This window comes from Homo sapiens, chromosome 10 (assembly GCF_000001405.40).
Source record: "Homo sapiens chromosome 10, GRCh38.p14 Primary Assembly".
Lineage (NCBI taxonomy): Eukaryota > Metazoa > Chordata > Mammalia > Primates > Hominidae > Homo > Homo sapiens.
Genome location: NC_000010.11, coordinates 5,264,273 through 5,286,403, shown reverse-complemented (window position 1 = coordinate 5,286,403; position 22,131 = coordinate 5,264,273). Strand labels below are relative to the sequence as shown.

Below are 22,131 nucleotides of genomic sequence, written 5' to 3'. Positions count from 1 at the left end.
CAGCAACATGGATGAAATTTGAGGCCATTATCCTAATCAAACTAACACAGAAACAGAAAACCAAATACTGCACGTTCTCACTTACATGTGGGAGCTGAACAACACACAGGGATACTGGGAGGGGAACGACAGACATCGGGACCTTTTGAGGTTGGAGGATGGTGGAGGGAGGGGATCAGAAAAAATATTTATTGGGTACTATGCTTATTACCCAGGTGACAATCTGTACACCAAACCCCTGTGACACAGTTTACACATATAACAAACCTGCACATGTGTCCCTGAACCCAAAGTAAAAGATTAAAAAAAAAAAGGAAAATGCCATTGTGGAAATACATGGATTTTCTCTGAGTCAGGCAGATCGTTGACTCCTCTTACTCCTGTTTTATAGACCCCCAAGAGCAAGGCTGGTGAAGCCACCGAAGTGGCTATTGATGCAGGCTTCCGTCACATTGATGCGGCGTTCTTCTACCAAAACGAGGAGGAGGTCGGAAAGGCCATTCGAGAGAAGATTGCTGATGGCCCTGTGAAGAGAGAGGACATTTTCTACACCACTGAGGTGAAATTTCTGTGTGTGCAGTGGCCAGAGGCCACCGTCAGTTCAGATGTATTATTTAGAAAAACAATGTGGTCTCAGAACAATGTATTTACCTAATATTGTGAAGGCACATTATCAAAACATAGGAACAATGTATTTCTTACCTAATATTGTGAAGGCACGTTATGAAAACATAGAAAAGGCTTTTCTCTGAGATGTGTGAAAGGTGGGACACTGTTCTTCAATGTCTCTGAGCGGCAGGTATTATTCATATATGAGATGAGATCGATAATACTTAAGTAACTGTTATACGATTACCCAAGGCATTCTGGGGCCACTCCGTTGATTGTTCAGTAATTGTTCTCAGGACGTATCAAGTGAGGTTGGGATGTTATTCAGAAAAGGGAGCCAGACTGGGAAATACTTTTTTATTTTTCAACTCAGCATTGAGTTTCCTGAATGTTATAACATTTTCCTAGGGTGGAAAACCTTTCTTCCAATGTAAATAAAGCCTTGGTTACTGGCGATACAGCCTATGCCTGTTTACACTGACGACAACTTGTTTTTAGAATGCATCTCTCAGCAGAATTGTTTTGAGGAATTCATTATACAGGACAGTAGATTCCATTCCCCGTGTCCTGACATTTCTCGACTGCTCTCAGAGGACGATGCCATTAACCCTTGATGCATTAAAGTTGATTTTCCTGCTCCATCTAAGTTTTATTCACAGTTTTCTTACATTGCAGTCATTCAAGTAAATCTCAGCATCTCATCAAGGATGTAATTTACCCTGAATAATACAAATGTAGCCCCAGTTCTTCTAGTTTGAGACCACAGTGTTTTGTTACTCATGTGTCAATTTCTGTTATGTTTAATTTTGGTCCCCAAGTGTGTGAAATCATAAGCTACTTTTTATTTCTTTTGTTCACTGCAGCTTTGGACAACTTTCTTTAGACCAGAATTAGTTCGCCCAGCCCTGGAAGGGTCACTGAAGAAACTTCAACTGGACTATGTCGATCTCTTCATTATCCACAATCCATTGGCTATGAAGGTCAGCTTTTGTTTTTTCCTTCTTATGCCCCAAACAGTTTCATCACTGTTACTAGCACCTCCATTGTCTCATTCCAGCTTGATTTCCTGGGTTCTTTCCGAGAGGGGTAGGTTTGAGTGAATTGCATAGAATTGCTAAATCATTCACGAGTCTCCTTCACAGCCGAATGACATTGCAATTTTCTGTCTGTGCTCATCCCCCAGCCTTAAGCGAGATGCAGGTTCGATGATCTCACTTCCTCTATGCTAGAAACATGAGGGCATTGCCCTGCATTTCTTAGTGCTTGTGTTCCTGAGTGTAGGTTCTGAGCTATTAGGTTACTACAGACTACAGAGATACAACGTGAAATCTCCACCTCTTTATGGTGAGGGTCTCTCCCGTATGTACCCTCAGCCCACAGGAGAGAGAGGTACATGGGATGGCACATGTGGCACAACTGGACTCCTTTGGGCTTCAGTGATCCAACCTCTCATCACAGTGGACATTGGCTGAGCACATCTGATGTCCTCATTATCCAAGTTGGGTGAGCATAAACGGGGGCTAAACACACTGATCAATAGTTATGGTAAGCGCTGTCTTCCACACCAGCCTGTCCTTCAGAAATGAAATAAATTTCAACTGTAGGGACGGCATTCTTAGTGAAGTGTGGGGGTGTATGGAGGAAGGAGCCTGCAGGTAACTGGAGAAAAAGTGTTTTGCTACAGTCTCTCAGACTGTTCTCATCTTTCTTTTTTCCCATGTCTTCTCTTACCAACCCTCACCCCAAACACGCACATGCACATCCACACATATCCATATCCACACACATACACTCATGCACACACACATATGCACACAGGCACACACACATGCACACACATACACACGTCTGCACATGCAGACACACAAGCACATACATCCACACACATGCACGCATGCATGTTCAGATTAATAATCACAGCCTTCTGAAAGTGGTGTGGCTAAGCTCCTTAGGCGCCAGAAAGGGAATTCTCATAGAAAACCTTCTTCTTTATCCTCTGTTTTCCAGCCTGGGGAGGAATTGCTGCCTAAGGATGCCAGTGGAAACATTATTTTTGATACTGTGGATCTTCGTGACACATGGGAGGTATGTTCTGCTGCAGACACCAGGTGGCACTGTGTGGTGAGGTTGGAATCACAGAAGGAGGGGTCAAAAGAGATGGGGTTTTGCTCCAGCAGTTGTTTGACCTCAGACGTGGAACTTCTCTGCGCCTCCGTGTTCTCATCGTTGAAGTGAGGGAGTGGAATGAGATAACCCCTACGGTCCATTTTTAATTTTAACTTCTATGGCTCTACATAGACATGGAAGCAGCTTTACCCCTGAGATCAGGTTGAGGACATGAGCCCTAAAGAGGAGTCAGCATAGAGAAGCACAAAAGGAGTCAGCGCTTTATCCCGGGACAGAAACACATCACAGAGGAGGAATAGCTGCGGCCTGACTCAGCAGGAGGGTGGAAGGTGCAGGACAGTGAACCCGCCCTTGCAACACCTATACCATTCATTTATTTTTATCGTTGTAGAAAGAGGTAGCAACAAACCCTTTACTAGAGGAAAAGCTGAGAGTTTCTTTTGCCCTTGACTATGGTGTAGTTTGTTAACTATTGCATCCTAACAGCAAAATAGGTACCATAGAAGAGAGTGGGATAGGTAAGAGGAAATGGAAAAGCAGCTTTATGTTTATTTGGTGTCCCCAGTGTGCATGTAATAGAATTAAGGAGACAAATATGTACGCAGAACAAGAAAAGGCATTCAAAATTAATTTATTCAAGGGATAAAACGGTTTGATTCATTATAATCGTAGTATATCATAAATCAGATTTTCGGTTTATAAAAAGTCAGTGACAAACGAAATGGACAAACTACAGTAAAGGTCTACCACCCATTTCCTCCCTCCCCAGGCCCTGGAGAAGTGCAAAGAAGCAGGTTTAACCAAGTCCATCGGGGTGTCCAATTTCAATCACAAACTGCTGGAACTCATCCTCAACAAGCCAGGGCTCAAGTACAAGCCCACCTGCAACCAGGTGAGCCGTTAGCCCACCGGGGCCTTCTCTGACTTTCTGCTCTTTACACACTTCCTGCTTAATCATGCTTCCAAGTTTCTGGCTTTATATCACCTGTGTAGATGACAGCTACTTTCATAGAAATAGAAAATACTAGAGAAAAACAGTTTGAGTGGAGTAGAAGAGCCTGACTTCAGTTCTTTGGGGATGGGTGTGAAGTTCCTATGAGACAGCCAAGCGGAGGCAGAGTTGGGAGGTGGTCGCTTTGGTCTGGAGCTCAGGGGGTGGAGGTGGAGACACAGTGTTTGAAATTATTGCTGTATAGATGGTAACAACTCACAGACAAGGATTAGCTCTCCTAGGGAAAGTTCATGGAATGAAAAGGAACAGGCAGGAAAGTTCACAGGAGAGGGTGAGGCAGAGAGGCACTGGCAAGGAGATTGAACAGGAGCTGCCAGACAGGTGGAGACAGCCAGGAGACTGTGGTGTCGGGAGCCAAAGAAAGAGCATTGAAGTGGCTTGAGTCAGACATAGGTAGGTCCTACTGTGAGCAAACACTCCAATAGGGAAAGATAAAAGTGGCTGGATTTAGTGGCATGGAGGTTATGGGAAGCCATGCAGGGCCTGATCCAGAGTGGTAAGCACTAAAGCCAGATCAGAGGAAAGGAGTGAGAAAGAGGAGGTGTATAAATCGTAATCAAAACATATGATTTTAAAAGAAACATCCAATATAGCCAAATATCAAACATGATTTATGACATTGTTAAGTTTAAAGCTTTGTGTAGACCATTTTGATAATTATACAAAAAGCAGTTCAAAAATGTATACTCTGTCTTAGTTTTATATTTCTAGGGATATTTGTAGACAAGACGTGTTAAAAACTCCCATCTATATTATATAGTAATATAATATATATTAACATATATATATAATTTCTAAAACCAAATGATTAGAATTTTGAATATCCACAAATGAGGAATTAATTAAAGTTCTGATGGCTTCATAGAGATCTTTGAGAGGATATTATGAAGACTAATAGCAAAAAGGGAAAGCTTATGTTATAATATTATATCAAAAGTATATCAGAGAATTATATACTATTCTGTTTTTCAGGATGCTTTTAAGCCACAAGAAACAGAAAACTCAATTCAAACGGGCTTAAAGTTGATTCATTTATAGAAAGTTTGGGTCTTTGTTGCTCTAGAAGCTGTAAGATACTCTCTTGAAATGAATATATTTTGTCTGTGCTCCATGTTTGATCGCTTCAGAATGGCTCCTCATGGCAATTGGGCTATAGGTCTCCTCATTCATGTTCAGCACAGCAGAGAGGGTTTTCTGGAGCTGTTTCTAAAGAGAGAAGAATAATGGTCACAGAAGTTTTCTAGCAATTTTTTTCTCATGTTTCATTGGCTTGAACAACATATTGTGCCTTTCATAAACCAATTAATGTAAGAGAAAGGAAGTTTGTGACACAAAAGTGTGAACTGGCTTCTTCTGGGGCACAGAAACTGAATATGGAGGAAGGGAGAAATAACTGAACAAAATCAGGATTCTTATAAAATATGCTAATCTATACTATTCAGTACATATACTAATTTTAAATTATTTAACATCTTAAGAATAATAAAAATGACTAAAATTAAGCACACAAAATGATTAGAGGTTGCTACGTGGTTCTGGTAAAATTCTAGGTGACCTTGTTGTATTTTTTCCTATATCTGACATGAAAATATTTCTTTTATAACTTTTAAAAGTTTTTATTTTTGTAAATTTTTAAAAAAAGATATAGAGAATATGAGGAGTTCAAAAAGTTCATGGAAAAATGGAATTAAAAGATGTTTATAAATATATGAACTATTTTTCAAAATAAGCTTTACCAAATTCAGTATAGTTTTTAAAGCATAAGTATATGCTTATGAGTATATGAACTAAGTATGTGAACTAATAGCAAATAGTAGCCATTTAGTTCATCTCTAAATAACTGAGAGTCCTGGTAATTTAATCATGTCAATGTATTCTTTTTATTTTTTACATTATTAACTGTAAGAAAAAGAGTCTCTGTTAAAGATTCTTAAAGATTCAGACACAAAAAGAACTCAGAAGGAGCCAAACCAGGACTGTAAGGTGGATGACTAATGATTTTTCTATCAAAATTCTTGCAAAATTGCCCCTGCTTGATGAAAAAAACGAGTAGGAGCATTGGTATGGTGAAAAATAATCTCTGGTGAAGCTTTTTGTGGGTGTTTTCATACTAAAACTTTGGCTAATTTTCTCAAAACAGTTGCTATTCTTCTTTAGCCCTCCAGAGAGTCAATAAGCAAAATGCCCTGAGCATCCCAGAAAACTTGCTATGACCTTTTCTCTTGATTAATCTCCTTTTGCTTTGCCTGGATCATTTCCACATCTTGGTAGCGATTGCTTTGATTTTGCTTTGTCTTCAGGATTGTACTGGCAAAGCCATGTTTCACCTCATTTTACAATTCTTTGAAGATGCTTCAGGATCTTGATCTCCCTTACCTAAAATTTCCTTGGAAAGCTTTGCTCCTGTCTGTAGCTGATCTGGCCACAACAGTTTCGTCACCCATGAATTGGAAAGTTCACTCAACTTAAATTTTTCAGTTACTATAGTGTAAACTGAACCAGTTGAGATATCTATGGTGTTGGTTATCATTTCTGCTGTTAATCATTGGTCTTCTTTAATGAGGGCACTAGTAAGATACATTTTTGTTTTCCTGCAAATTGATGTGAATGGTATGCTGTTGCGGGCTTCATCTTCAACATCATCTCGTTCCTTCTTCAAATGAATTATTCATTTGTGAACTTCTGATTTCTTTGGGGGATTTTGCCCATATATTTTGTGTAAAGAGTCAATAATTTCACCATTCTTCCACCCATGCTTCACAATAAATTTGATTTTTGTTCTTACTTCAATTTAGCTGAATTCATGTTTTTCTGATAGGGGAGTTGTTTTATCTTTCTCAATGCCTCAAACTAGATCCTGTTCAGACACATCATAACAAATTAGTACAAGTTTATTTTGGAGCATTTTTTTTTGAAATCCATGTATGGTTTTTTCATAATGCACATTTTCAATCAATTTTTTGAATATCCCCTCATGTTATAATCATTTTCTTTTTATGTACCCATCATCACACTTAAGCAATAATTATCTCACAACCAAACATGTTACGTAGATAATTCTACCTCTGTATTATTTTGAAGCAGACATGATATCATTGTATCTGAAAATGTTTTGTAAAATATTTTAAAAATCTCTAAATCTTTAAATAAACATTGCCAGAATACTTTTATACCACTTGAAATTGTAGCAATAATTTCTTGTTGTTAGTAAATATCATGAGTGCTAAAATATAATTTTATCATATTTTTAAAGTTGATTCATTTAAATTGATGTGGAAATAAGGCCCATACATTGCAATTGGATGATATGTCTCATAAATCACTCTTTTTTTTTTTTTGAGACTGAGTCTCGCTCTGTCACCCAGGCTGGACTGCAGTGGCACGATCTTGGCTCACTGCAACCTCCACCTCCTGGGTTCAAGCTATTCTCCTGTCTCAGCCTCCTGAGTAGCTGGGACTATAGGCATGCACCACCATGCCTGGCTAATTTTTGTATTTTTAGTAGAGACGGTCAGTCTGGTCTCAAACTCCTGACCTCATGATCTGCCCGCCTCAGCCTCCCAGTGTTTTGGGATTACAGGCGTGAGCCACTGATCCCGGCCAAATCACTCTTTCAATAAATAAGTTTGTTCTCTTCTTTTTTTTTTTTTACTTCTCTCCTCCTCTTCCTCTTCTGCCTCCTCTGTCTTCTCTTTCTTCTCTTCTTCCTTCTTCTCCTCCTGCTCTTCTACCTTCTCTTCCTTCTCTTCTTCCATAGTCCTCATTCTCATTCTGCCTCTTTCTTTCCTTCAATTTACTAATGAAAACTTAAGCCTTTTATTCCTGTAAAGTTTTCCTCCGTATAGGATATACTGGTTGATCCAGTGATACAATTTAACATGTTCCTTTTGTACTTTCTGTAAATTGAAAGTTAGAGCTAAAGATTTGATCACAATTGGTTAACATCATTTGAACTCATGAATTTTAACAAATATGTCCTTTTCCCAACCATTGTAGTTACTATGCCTTTTGTTGCTCAACTTGCCATCATTTTGACCAGCAGGAGCCTTTTCAATTGAGCTTCTTGGTCCTTTGACTTGCCTCATTTTCTTTATGTTCTTTGCCATTTAGAATGTAAGCTGTTCTAGGCTGAACTTGTAGCTTCCCCAGTCAGAACTAGAATTAGCCATTTTTCTAAGAAATCTTGGTTTGTCTGAGTAGAAATGTCATTTAGAGACTATAATTTGGGCACGAGAGATGTTAATCATTTTAAAACACTAATAAAAAAAGAATAAGTAAGTTATCATGTTAGTATGACCACTGATGGAATTTGAAAGCATTTCAGAAGGTGCATGGGGAAAATGACCAATATGAAATACATAGTACATATATTAATATAGTACTAGATATTCCTTCAAAGCATTTTAAAATTTACATGTGGTTATTTGCTCATGTATTCTGACACCTTTTGGTCTTGAAAAATTACAGGTGGAATGTCACCCTTACCTCAACTAGAGCAAACTCCTGGAGTTCTGCAAGTCCAAGGACATTGTTCTAGTTGCCTACAGGGCCCTGGCATCTCACAGAGACCCAAACTGGTAATAAGAGTATCGAAGAGTTAATCTATATCAGCAACTCTATTGATTAAGAAACTTTTAGCATTTCATTCTAGATCAAGTCAAACATAGAACAGTGAACACAACGGTGCAGTGAATTCCCATGTGACACCACTGAGCTTCAATGTCACCAACATTCCTTCCCTCCTGTTTCATTTGTATATCTGCCTTCTCCCAACCCCACTCCAAATACAATTTCAAAGTGATTTGAAGGTGAAATTTACATAGACTGTAATGCATATACGTTAGCTGTACAATTTTGATAAATGAATGTACTTTGTAATCCACATTATTGTCATGATATGGAAACTTTCTCCCAAAAATGTTAATTGGTGTTCCTTCTGAGACAATTCCTCCCCACCTCTAGGCAACTATGTTCATAACGTTTTCGGTCTTAGATTAGTTTTGTCTGCTGTAGTACTTTATGTAAAGAAGTCATATATATTCTTTGGTGTAGCTTCTTTTGCTCAACCTGTCTGTGACATTCATTCCTGTAGTTGCAGGTGTCTGTTCTTTCCATTTTACTGCTGGGAAATATTCCATTATATGGACATGTACACCACAAGTTGTTTATCCATTCACCTATTGATGGGCAGTTTAGTTGTTTCCAGTTTGCCACAATTGCGAATAAATCTCTATGAATATTTATGAGACACCTTGAAACATACTATATTGTGTCTTCTCTCATTGTCTGGGGCTTTGGGCAAAAGGGTAGCACACTCTAGATTTTTCATCTATACTCTTCATATCTGTTGTTTTTCTCCAGGATGGACCCAGATAGCCCATATCTCTTAGAGGAGCCAACCTTGAAATCCATTGCCAAGAAATACAATAGAAGCCCAGGCCAGGTTGCCCTGTGCTATGAGCTGCAGCGGGGGGGTGGTGGTCCTGGCCAAGAGCTTCTCTGAGAAGAGAATCAAAGAGAACTTCCAGGTACAGGTCAAGTGGTGTTGCTCCAAAGTGAGCCATGGGCGCTGGTCTGGGTGATCTCTCTTCCAGGGGGGAATGCACCATATGTCATTCATGCCCGTGCTTCTCTCCTCTGTGTGCTAAGGGAGGGGGCAGGATGGAAAAGTGCGAAGAGATCACTGGATTCACAGTCCTAAAGTTTATCACCTCTAGGGCTGGCTTTGCCACTCACTAGTTGTGTGACACTAAGCAAATTTCAACTCCATCATTTTCATGAGTTTCAGGAGTTCTACATGGTAAGGAACTTTAAGGACCTTCATTTCTCTCCTTCACCATCTCTATCTGACAAACCTCTATTTGTATTTTATGATCAAACTCAAATAGGATTACCTGCTTTGTTACATATCATACATACATAACCATTGGGACACTCTAGCACATTTTTCACCACAATAGTGCCTGGCATGGTTCTGTTAGTGAGTCTTTTCCCTTTTAACTTAACATTGTTTGCTAAGATGTCAGTGTGCTCTCTGGACTGTGAGACCCTAAATGCTGTGACTCCTTCTGGGTCATCTTTTATCACCTTTCCCCTGGCAGTGCCCCGGGCTGGTAGGAAGCTAGGTATAATTTCATAGACTGACCAAATTATTAATAGTAAATCAATGAGTAAAGATTTTGCCTGAAGCCTTCCTCATATACACTCCAATCCATTAGATCAATCAGTGGTCTTTAATTTACTTTGTTTTGAATTCTAAAAGAATTTTGAAAGACTATGTATGCTGTTTTCCATTTAAAGATGGCAGCTAGAAAAATCAACATGAGTTTAGTTATTACAAAGGATGATATTTGAAGCATATTTTCTAATGTATTTGTTTCACAACTTTGTAGCTCTAGATTAAAATTTTTAAGTTATACAAAAATCAAATAGGCAAATCTAAACCTTGTTACCATACAGAAAAAAATCTTATTTTATTTTATTTTTCAATTTAACTCAACATATTAATACATATCCCTGTGACAACCATGTCATTTCTGGAGTATATTTTTAAGATGAATCACTGATGGGTAAATGTATGGGTGGATAGGTAGATAATGGACAGATATAGGTAGAGAGAGAGAGAGAAACACATTAGATAGATATGTATATCATAGATGGACGGAGAGATAGATAGATAGGGCTCTGAGTTTTCCATCTTCTGCATGAAATAATGAACTTAATTTTTTTAAACCACATATCTTTTTCTTTGCTTTAAGGGATTCTTCATCAGGGGACTATGTGTCAATGTGTTTTCAAATAAAAACAACTCTTGGCTTAAGTAAGATAAATATATTCAAAAAAGGTTTTTTTTGTTGTTTGTTTTTTTTGTTTTGTTTTGTTTTGTAAGGAAGTAGTATTTGGTAGTACTTAGTAGTAGCTGGAAATAGTATTTGGGGGCCTGCAGTGAGCAAGTGGTATGGTGGAACAATTGATCAAGAAATGCTTTTCTAAGGCCAAAACATTCTTGGAGCAAGGTTGTCTTGTGTTCCAAGGCTTGCACAGTCAAAGACTGGGTCAAGTTCCAGGGGAAGTGAGTAAGGAAAATCCTGACCAAGTGTGATCAAGTCAAGGAAGCAGGTATTTTGTCCAGATTTGCCTTTGTTTAGTATAAAGAATTTATTTTTTCTGTCTCAAGCAATTCTCTAGAAATGTCTTAGATTGATAAGTTGTCTTTCTTTTGAGAAGTGGAGCAGAGCAGGAGGGAGGTGGGATGGAAAAGTAGCAGAACTCAGGGGGAAGAGGTCTCACCTAGAGGCCAATGAGGACAGAAACTTTACATACTGCCATCCTTGCCTCTGCCCCCGGAAAGCCTTGTATTCCCAGGAAGAAGCTGCTGTCCTGGGGAAAGGTTAATGTGAGTGTTTTCTTCCTTTCAGGTTTTTGACTTTGAGTTGACTCCAGAGGACATGAAAGCCACTGATGGCCTCAACAGAAATTTCCGATATGCTAAGTTACAATTGTAAGTCATGCTTGCAGATTCTTTCACAGGCTGTTTTCTGTAATATGCAGGCAAACAGAGGAATACATCTTCCCTAAATCAGGAAGGCAGGCCAGATTTCAGGAATAGGTATGAAACAGGAGCTTCCCTATAGTCCTCATGTGGCTCAATCTGTGACCCAACAGGAATGTGAGTCAGTAAGTGAAACTGTTGACATCTGCACCATTGTGAATGCACTTCTTCAATTTTTTTTTTTTTTTTTCTGAGACAAAGTCTTGCTCTATTGCCTAGGCTGGAGTGCAGTGACACGATCTCGGCTCACCGCAACCTCTGCCTCCCGGGTTCAAGCAATTCTCCTGCCTCAGCCTCCTGAGCAGCTGGGATTATAGGCGTTTGCCACCACGCCCAGCTAATTTTTGTATTTTTAGTAGAGACAGGGTTTCACCATGTTGGCCAGTCTGGTCTCGAACTCCTGACCTCGTGATCTGCCCACCTCGGCCTCCCAAAGTGCTGGAATTACAGGCATGAGCCACTGTGCCCCGCCATGAATGCACTTCTTTAGTGCCCTTACTACCTGTGCCCGGTCCTGCACGCAGGGCCACTGCCTATTAGAATAGAAGGCACGGTGTCTATGACCCATCATACTTATAGGAGCCCATGATAATGTTCTAGCTTTAATTTATTTTAAAGTCAGAAGAAAAAGAGAATACAACAATGATGAATATGTAATAATGAATCCAGCCTCGTCTATCTTCATGTCTATACCAAGGCAATGTAAGACTTAATTTTAATATTTGTATAGAGCATTGGTCCATGAAAGCAAATGTGCATATGTCCTAGGGAAGTCACAGTGGGCCCTGCTTCCATGGCCTCCCCTAAGTGTCCAGTGACATTTCTCCTTACTGTGGCATTCCTTTTCCGAGACACCAACTATTTCTTCCAAATTTTTGTCTTCCTTGGCTTTCTTTACCTTCACAACTCCCATTTCCTCAGCTATATAATCTCACTAAGCTGAATGACAAATGAATTATGAAATTAATAGACCCTCAGTGCTAGTGACTGAGGTGTCCCCAGTGGCCTCCACCAAGTTAAGATCCTCTGGAATTTCTCCGGATCTTCGAGGCAAGACTCTTACTCCAGTGTCATCTTCGTCCATCTGAAGCCCACCTCTAAGGAACCCAACATAACTTCACTTTAGTTTATTCACAAACATGACGTTCCATTGGATCAACTGTGGCAGGATCTCAGGGTTGAGGAGAAAGATGACTAATCAAACAGAGCCAAGTTTGGAGGGGAGTTTAGAAACAGGGCGAAATATCATTTTAGTTAGGAAAATACTCAGTCTCCAAAACACATCTGAAAGGTCCCCCTTCTTTTTGTAAAACCATACCAGGCTTCCAAGAAAAGACATTTTCAATGAGAAAAATGTGAAAGCAACCTTTCTATACTCACAGGCCTTAAGTATAATCTGTGATCTGCCTCATGAGACTGTGAATGTCTCCTCTTACTCATCTCTGTGGCCCTATGTTAATACAGCTCCTGGTGCATTTAACTGCTTAGAAAGTACTCTTTAATGACACTCAATTAAAAAGAACGAATTATAAAAAAGAAAGCCCTTTTTGCCATTAAGGTAACATATTTTCAGGTTCCAGAGATAAGGGCATGTATGTCTTTGGGGGCCATTACTGAGCCTACTACACTAGTTTTGTAAGTAAATTTAGAGCAACTAAACTTTAGTTTTCTAATTTTTGTAATAGAAAGAATTCTATGTCCAGCCACTGGATCCTGAAACTCTAGACTTTTATCTCAGATATCAAGAGGAAAACCACATGAATAAATACCTGTTTCTTTAAAGCTGATGTAATCTTGACCCTATTGTATTTCCTCCTTCTGGATACATGCCCTTCATTATTTTATTCTAAAATTTATTCTCAGGATCTGTTGACATTGTCTTTTGTTGTTCATATGGAAAACTCAAGCTTTTCAGTTTGCCAACATTCTCAACTCTTCAGAATTTCTACTGATGTCTAGATTATACTTCAGGCAATGGATCCCATGTTTACTACTTAAACGTGCTTCATCTATGAAACCTTCAGTTGGACACATCTTATATTAATGAAGTCTCTTAACTCTGCAGTTTCTACTATACCTTGATTTATCAAGTTCTTGATTCATCAAGAGTTGTCATTAGGTCTCTCTTCTTTCCTCTTTGCATTCTTTCAATACCCATAGAAGTTTACGTATGAAAATTAGGCTAAATAATATACTAAATTGAAATTGATCAGACTCCACTTATTCTACACAAGTAAGTTTGGAAACATCTAATTTAAAGAAAAGCACTTTCTCACTATGGTTTCAGCAGTCAAGATGATTGCCTTTCCAACATCAGTTTTACTTTAAATAATTTGTTTAGGTCAGCCATGCTAATTTCATTGTGGTTGGCATAGGAGTCACTGTGGATAAAGAGTTGTGACCCAGCCTTAGCCAACGCCACATAAGAAGCACTGTGCTGGGTACTTCTAGGAGAGTTTCTCTCACTTCTAAGAAGGAGCCTTTGAAGAGAGGTTGCTTCTCTTCTTCAAGGGGATATTGTCCCATTGCAAGGTGAGGTGTGAAATTGCTGTGGAGTCTCCACCCAGCCTGAGGACGACATCAATACACAGAAGAAGAAAAAGGAGAAGATGAGAGAAATTCTGCACTCTCATGGATGACACCCAGAGTTTACCCTCCCTCTGGACTTCTTGTTATGGGACTAACACATTTTTGTGGATTTTAAACCAATTTGAATTACTTTTTTTGCACCTGCCTGTACTCTAATCCAAACAACCATCCAAGTTAATAATTTTCTCTTTACAATGCACCCTGCATTTTGTACCTATACAAGAGTGGTCAGAATGTGTGAAAACTGCTGAGTCATCCTGACAGCATGGCTCCAGTAGATTCTAGGGGTCGGCTATAGTATTGAGTGATATTAAAATAACAAATAATGCACAAAAGGCATGGATCTAAAAAAGTCTTTAGGAATCTTCACTCACTGAGAGCTCATATTCAGGACACAGTTTCTTCTTCAAATCACCTTGGACAAGTAAGTAACCCTTTTTGTTCCCTTTTCTGTAAAATAAGTTACAAGTTAAATCTACTTTGTAGGGTATTTGAGAGGATTCCCTGATAGTCTTGCCTGATACAGAATAGAAACTCAAAATCTTAGCTAGTAGCGTTGGTGTCATTGCTATTATCAGCACTATAATTTCCCTTGAGTTAGCCAGAAGAAATACTAAGTTTATTGGACAGTGAGTACAGGGTTGCCTTGCTCAGATGTACTGAGCCTACTGTCAACTTTAAGCCGCTCTCTGTGAGGTTAGAGTTTATCTTGGTCTGGGAGGACCAAGCAGAGTGCTTTAGAGATGACAAGCACAGCTGTGTTAAGAGACAACTTCCAAAGTTTGTGACCACATAGGATAAGTTACTCTAACTTTCAGTGCAGTTGAGCAAGAGTCCTTGATTGGTTTCTGTTGTGAATGCCAATATTTTTGTGTCATTTTGTGGGATCTTCCAGACACTGTCTGAGAGAAAATCTCCATAGCCTGGAGAGGAAGAAAAATGTCTGGATGGTGGGGTTTTGTCTCCTAGCACAGTTACCACCCAATGACCATCCTTCTTTACTTTTACAGGCCATTATGTTAAGCCTTTTTCATTTGTTGCTCTCCCATATCCCTATTTAGACTTTGATATCTGAAGGTGGAAACCATCCCTTTTCCCTCTGGAGCTGGAGTGATGTTCACGGAAGGCAAAGCAGCTGGGCCTGAATGGGGCTAAGCTCTGGGAGCCATGAGTGTCTCCACAGAAACAGAGCAGGACACCCGGAGGGACCACCCAAAACCTTGGGTCCGTTTGTGAGGCCATCAGATCCTCAGCTGGCATTTGACAAGGAGGATCAAGGTTGCAACAGCCTAAAGAAGTTTAATTTCAAGAAAACAGGTAACTTTTCTTTCTTCTTACTCATCTGAATTTGTGGATTGAAAATTATTTGCACCATATAGAGGAGTTTTCTAACTATCAAAGCACCAACAGTGGAGTTATTTGCTGCAGGACATGTTGAAATGATTCTCATTGAAGACAACTGGATGAATTCCCAGTGATGTTTGAAATGCAGGTTTGCCAGAGGAAAAGTCTGTTGAATTCTGTTTTTGAGAACCAGACATTTTCTTATAGATTAGGATAAACTCCTTGCATAATAAAGGTGTTTATCCATGGACTTCACATTTTATTCCTGTTGCTGTCTGATACTTTCCCCAATTACTTGGTTTAATTTGGCCTTCAAGCTCCCCTCCAACCCTGAGAGGCTGTTAGTGTGAACCCAGAAAGATTTATTCTGTCCCATGTTTTTATTTCTCCTGGAGCACAGTAGCACGAAAGAGGAGTGGATAGTATCCCCAAAATACAGAAGGGAGGAAACGGATGTGGAGAGAGAGGGAAGTAACCAGGGTACTTTGTCCACCTTCACATGATCCTAGGGATTATCCTGTGTCACAGGCACTTCAGAGTTGTTTTATTTTGGTGGTGTCTAAAAGATTTTAGTCTTAAAACACACATCCAGCCTGGGCCACAGACGTTGTCTCTACAAATAATAAAATAATTAGTCGGGCGAGGTGGCATGCGCCTGTGGTTCCAGCTAATAGGGAGGCTGAGGTGGAAGGATCACCTGAATCCAGGTGGCTGAGACTACGTAAGCTATGATGGCACCACTGCACTCCAGCCTGGACGACTCCTTCTCATAAAACCAAACCAATCCACACACACACACAGAGAAGAGAAACAGAGTTTACTTTTGAATATCGTTGAGAGAATATACTGAATTGCCTGGCGTGATGCGAATGAAGCAACATAGTTCTGTTCCTATAACAAGGACATTGGAAACAAAATTTTCACCAGTTGTAGCATTTCCAATTAGTCTAGTTGGGAGTCACCAGGATTAGATCAAAGTATAAATCCAAAGACTGTCAGAAAATATTCTGAATTCAGGAGAGAAGGGAAATCATGATAGAACAGGAAGTCTGATCTGTGTACAATCAGAAGATATCATAATCCAAATTTTACATCAAGTTAGGGGTACATGCAGGGTTTAACTCTGGAGAAACTTCACACAGAAGTCTGAAGACACCAAGAAGTGTCTTGGCAGCTGAGTAAAGGCAGCTTGGGATGAAGTTGAGAGTGCTGGGCATCTGCCAGGAAATTTCATGGTATTCAGCTTCATCAGAAATATGACTTGCAACTAAATATTTTTATCCCATTCTATAGGTTGCTTTCTGATGCTTAGTAGTCTCTTTTGATGCAAAAATGTTTTAATTTATGAAGTCTCATTCATCTATGTTTTCCTCTGTTGACTGTGCTTTTGGTGTCACTTGCATTTGATTTTCAGCAATTTCAGCCCTGTGGCTGTAAGACATAGGATTCTCACTCAGCGCACACCTAGAAGCTCTTAGGTCATGTGTGCTTAATCCAGGATTTTGAATTCCTGAGCTCACCCTTTTTTTTCTTCCTCTTTCCAGCAATATGAGGTGCAACTAACCAACATCATTCTATTCTTAGTTTTCCACAAATGTTTGAAAGTATCACATACAGAGTCACTATTTTTTTTGCCTCTTTTAAGTTGTTAAGTAGAGTATCAATGCAGATGTTTTGTGCACTCTATAAATACTTCATATCATGGACTATCAGTGCTCTCTTCATTATTGGAAATAAAGTCCTTCGCATTTTCAAGTCTAATCTGATTAGACTGACAATGCCAGAAACCCCAAAACCAATTCAGGAAACTCAAAATTCTATTCCTCTAGAACTGCTCCAGATACCAAAATCTATATTAGTCAGGGTTGTCCCAAGAAACAAAACATATAGTGTGTGTGTGTGTGTGTGTGTGTGTGTGTGTGTGTAAATGAAAGAGGAAATCTCACATGAAAGACTCAATCAATGCAGCAAACTTTATTTTATTTTATTTTATTTTAAATAAATGACCACAGCCACCTCACCCGTTAGTAACCACCACCCTGGTCAGTCAGGAGGCATCGACATCATATCTAAAACCTCCACTATCAACAAGATTATGACCTGCTGAAGGTTCAGATGACTATTGGCATTTCTCAGAAATAAAATATTTTTAACAAATGCATGCATATTTTTTTCTTTAGCTGTAATGCTATTGCACACTAAATATATGACAGTATAGTGTAAACATAACTTTATATGTACTGGGAAATCTAAATATTTGTGTGACTCATTTTATTGTCATATTTGCTGCATTGCAGTAGTCTAGAATTGAACTTGCAATATCTCTGAGATATGCTTGTATATAATATGTTGTCTATATCTTATCACAGTTTTTGACTAAATTTTATTTTTCCTGGTCCTAGTATAGCCACCACAGCTCTTTTTTGTCACTGTTTTTATAGAATATCTGTTTCTGTCTTTCACTTTCATACTAGTCACATCTATAGATGCAAACTGAGTTTCTAGTGCTGAGTATATAGTTGGATCTTGTTTCTTTTAATCCATTTTGCAAATTGATCTGCCTTTTGGTGTGGGGGTTTAATCCATTTACATTTAAAGTATATTCATGTGCTGCATAACAACATTTTGGTCAATGATTGACCATATATACAACAGTGGATTTATAAGATTACAAAACCTATTACTGCTCCTTTTATATGTTTATGTACACAAATACCATTGTGTTACAATTGCCTTATAGTATTCAGTAGAGGAACATGCTGCACTCTACTGTTTATAGCCTACAGGCAATGGTCTAGACCAGAAAGCCTATAGTAGAATATACCATTTAGATTCATGTAAGTTCACTCTATGGTGTTCACATGATGCTTGAATTGCCTAAAAATGCATTTCTCAGAATGTATTCTTATCATTAAATGACAGATAACTATAATTAGTGACAGCAACTTAATTTTGCATTTTAATATTTTTCTTTTCCTGTATGTCTATAGCATTTTGTTCTTCATATCCTCCATTACTAACATTTTTTTGTGTGTGTCACTGATTGATTTTTAGGGACACTTGGATTTCCCTCTCATTTTCACTTGTGTATATTCTATAATTGTTTTCTTTGTGGTTACCATGAAAATGACATAAAACATCCTAGAGTTATAAAATCTCCTTTGAAATCAATACACATTTAATTCTGTACATAAATTCCCCTTTTCCACATCTGTGTTTCTCTCAACTTCACATTACTGATGTCACTAATTACAACCTCATACATTGTGTACATGTTAACATAGATTTATAGTTATTTGTACACATTTGAATTTTAAATTTTTTTTTTTTTTTGAGACAGAGTCTTGCTCTGTTGCCCAGGCTGGTGTGCAGTGGCACAATCTTGGCTCACTACAAGCTCCGCCTCCCAGGCTCATGCCCTTCTCCTGCCTCAGCCTCCCAAGTAGCTGGGACTACAGGCGCCTACCACCATGCCTGGCTAATTTTTTATACTTTTTAGTAGAGATGGGGTTTCACCATGTTAGCCAGGACGGTCTTGATCTCCTGACCTCATGATACACCTGCCTTGGCCTCCCAAAGTGCTGGAATTACAGGCATGAGCCACTGCACTCAGCCAAATTTTAAAACTTGAACAGAAAGCTAGTATAAACAAAACTTTCAAAAATACATGTTTTTGTATTTTGTCCCATATTTACCTTGATGAGAGGTCTTTATACTTGATACGACTTTACATAACCATCTAATCTAACATTCTTTTATTTCATAGTGAATTACTCCCTTAAGCATTTCGTGTAGAGTAGTTCTAGTGGCAATGAGCTCTGTCAGCTTTTGTTTATATCACATTGTCTTTATAACTTCCCAATTTCTGAAGGTCATTTTTGTCAGATACAGAATTCTTGGTTGGCAAGTTTTCTTTTTTCTTTTACCAATTAAAAAATATATATAATCTCATATGCCCTCCAAGGTGTCTGATAAGAAATCTCCTGATAACTTCATCCAGAATTCCTTGTACCTCATGAGTTATGTTTCTCTTGCGGCTTTTCAAATGATCTCCTTGTCTTTGGCTTTTGAGAGTTTGATTATAATGTATGTGGGTCTGGGTCTTTTTCAGTGTATTCTCTCTGCAGATCTTCAAGTTTCTTGTATTTGTAGATTCATGTCTTTCATCATATTTGAACCATTCTTTTTCATCTTTTTCTTTCCAACTTTTATTTTAAGTTCAGGGGTATATGTGCAGGTTTGTTTCATGAGTAAATTTCATGTCATGGCAGGAGATGTACAAATTATTTAGTCACCCAGGTAATAAGCATACCTATATAACAAACCTGCACATGTATCCCTGAACATAAAAGTTAAAAAAATAATTTTTTAAAAGTCCTAAAAACTCCAAACATACACATTTGTATAGGAAAATCATGTAGGTGGATACACATTAAGTATTTTTCAATGGGAATATTACAGCTTATTTTTGTTCTCTTGTTACAGGCTGAAAGAATGAGAGTTGTGACCAACTCAGTATACCACTGGAGGCTATATGAGCAAACAGAAAACTGTTCTTATGAAAGCAGGATGTTGGAAAACTGATAACTGTGTCTGCCGCCAGAAGGGGTGCTGAGGGCAGTCAGGCCTCATGCACAGTGTTCCTTGTGATTATCTATAGGAACATCTGAAGCCTGTTGTACAAAGAAAGCAATTATGTGGACCTGTGATAAATCAAGCAGTGGACCAACCATTAGCTCTCCCTCCCTGCTCTTTCTACCTAACAAATATGAAAGACTGTAGAAACTCAGGGCTGCCTTTGCTCTCTAGAAGCAAGGAGCCCCTGACCCCCTCTTTCAAAATAGGTCTTTTCGTCTTTGTCTTTACTTCTGCATTCGACCCCCTTCATTGACCCTGTAGAAACTGTCAGTGACATTCTCTTTTCCCTTGTATTTTCTAAATTTTCTATAATTTGCATGTTATTTTAATAATTAGTGAGGGCATCAAAGAAGTGGATTTACAATGGTGCAAACATTGGCAGTTTCAGTTAGGAACTCATATTCCTGTTGGGTCAGAGATTGAGCCCTGGAGGAAACCTCTGGTCTGAGGGCTACAGGGAAGCTCCTGTTTCATGCCTATTCCTGAAATTAGGCCTGTCCCTCTGATTTAGGGAAGATTTATTCCTCTGTTTGTCTGCATACTACAGAAACAGCCTGTGAAAGAATCTGCAGGCATCACTTACAATTGTAACTTAGCATATTGGAAATTTCTGTTGAGGACATCAATGGCTTTCATGTCCTCTGGAGTCTACTCAACAATTTTTCTTCAAAGTCTAAAGGAGATTTTTTCTTCCAGCATAATATTCCGTGCAGTGCAGAAAGTCTTTTCTTTTGCCTTTTGGTAAATGGCCTAAGAGATTTTACAGTTTATTGAGAGAATTCCTATGCCATTATCATTAAGTTTTGGTTTGCTTAGAATGTAAAAAAAACTGAGATTAGAACAAATTTTTAAAAAAGTAAGGTTATTACATCTGTATATCTTTCTGTATGTGCTTTTAAAGTCCTTGTGACATTGAGTTACAGGGCTTTGACTCCTGGATCTATAAAGGACACCAAGTCCTGCTACATCTTAAACACTGACAACAATTAAAGCCTCATCTTCAGGCGCAGTAGAAGATGCCAATCAAAATAAATTGCATTCCTGAGACATAGGGCCAGAAATAAAAGCTATTCAACTCCTCAAGGCCCCAGGACTATTGTGGAAGAGGTGGGTGTGTGAGATTGAAAGGGCCAATTTTGAGAGACAAAATAAGTTCAATTTCTCTGTAAATTAATCATTAATGTCAAAGGCACACTGATGCAAGACAAGAATATGGCCCCCTGTGACAGATTAACAAGGTTTTAGTGAAGCATTAACTGACTCCTTAATAAAGGTTATAAAGGTTATAAAAGGCTTAAGAAAGTTATATCCTATTGTCAAGATTAAAAGTTCATAAATTGTTAATAAAATTTTGAAAAACAGATTTAATTGGTATCACACTGTTTTTATTAGGGCTTATAGTTTGGAAAATTAAGTCTTCTCTCTCAAAGAAAAAAGGTTTTTGCCTTTTTTTGGAATCCTTGTGTTATCACTTTGGTTAAATGAATGACTTATTTTACAATGACCTGTAATATCAAGTGTTTTAAACCATTGATATTTGACAAACTTTCCAAATCAAATTATAAATTATTTCTTTTTCAGACCTAATTAATCCTTTAAGATATTAGGTTCCCTAAAATCTAAAAATGAAATTTGGCTCACTTGGTGTAAAAATTATACAGGAAGTATTGTCAAACATGAAATGGTGTTTGGTTATCTTTGGGCTGTATTTGTATAAATATGTAATTGGCATGTGTTCCAAAATTATGGGAAACTCATATAACTCTGATATAACTTAGTATACATTATCAGTAATAATCATTGTCATGTTAAATTATGGTGTGCCACAGAGGTAACAAATTTCCCTGTCAATTGTGTTTTTGACTATGGCTGCTCTAAAACTTTTTGTCATCCACAGACAATTGTTTCTTGTTTTGCTCCTCTTTAGAAGGTGGTTTATAGAACTATAATACTCTAACAGGTGCTCTTGAATGCAGGTTTCTGATAACTTTGAAGACTGTGACATCAGAATAGAGGAAAAACTTTGAAAACTCATGGAGAGCTGAAATGTTCATGAATATCAAGCAGAGCAGGAATTAGCTGCATGAACTGAACTAATAGAAGACTGAAGTAATCTTTTTGACTTTTTGCTTAAAACATTGCTGATCCTTTGTTCTGTATTTTTCAGAGTCAAGGAAGCTTTTCTTTTGAGCTATTGGCAGCTTTTAACAATTTAGTATACTCCCGTGAACAAAATTTGGAGCTTATTTCTTTCTCTCTA

The 22,131-nt window shown here is 38.4% G+C and overlaps 1 long non-coding RNA gene and 1 pseudogene across 1 annotated transcript, besides 2 other annotated features; both read left to right on the top strand.

Moving 5' to 3' along the window:
- On the top strand, positions 479-11,198 carry AKR1C7P (aldo-keto reductase family 1 member C7, pseudogene; annotated as a pseudogene).
- Positions 1,644-1,938: an enhancer, noted in NCBI's record as "tiled region #4527; HepG2 Activating non-DNase unmatched - State 11:FaireW, and K562 Activating DNase matched - State 5:Enh". NCBI's record gives its function as "activates a minimal TATA promoter and a strong SV40 promoter by Sharpr-MPRA in HepG2 and K562 cells {active_cell/tissue: HepG2 | K562}" and the evidence as "EXISTENCE:reporter gene assay evidence [ECO:0000049][PMID:27701403]".
- Positions 13,666-14,865: an enhancer, noted in NCBI's record as "MED14-independent group 3 enhancer chr10:5313502-5314701 (GRCh37/hg19 assembly coordinates)". NCBI's record gives its function as "activates an origin of replication core promoter dependent on BRD2, BRD4, P300/CBP and CDK7 cofactors, and independent of MED14, by STARR-seq in HCT116 cells {active_cell/tissue: HCT116}" and the evidence as "EXISTENCE:reporter gene assay evidence [ECO:0000049][PMID:35650434]".
- On the top strand, positions 15,168-20,415 carry LINC02561 (long intergenic non-protein coding RNA 2561). The gene is made up of 2 exons (NR_149060.1): positions 15,168-15,206; positions 19,719-20,415. It is a non-coding gene; the product is annotated as a long intergenic non-protein coding RNA 2561 (long non-coding RNA).
- Positions 20,416-22,131: the final 1,716 nt, after the last annotated feature.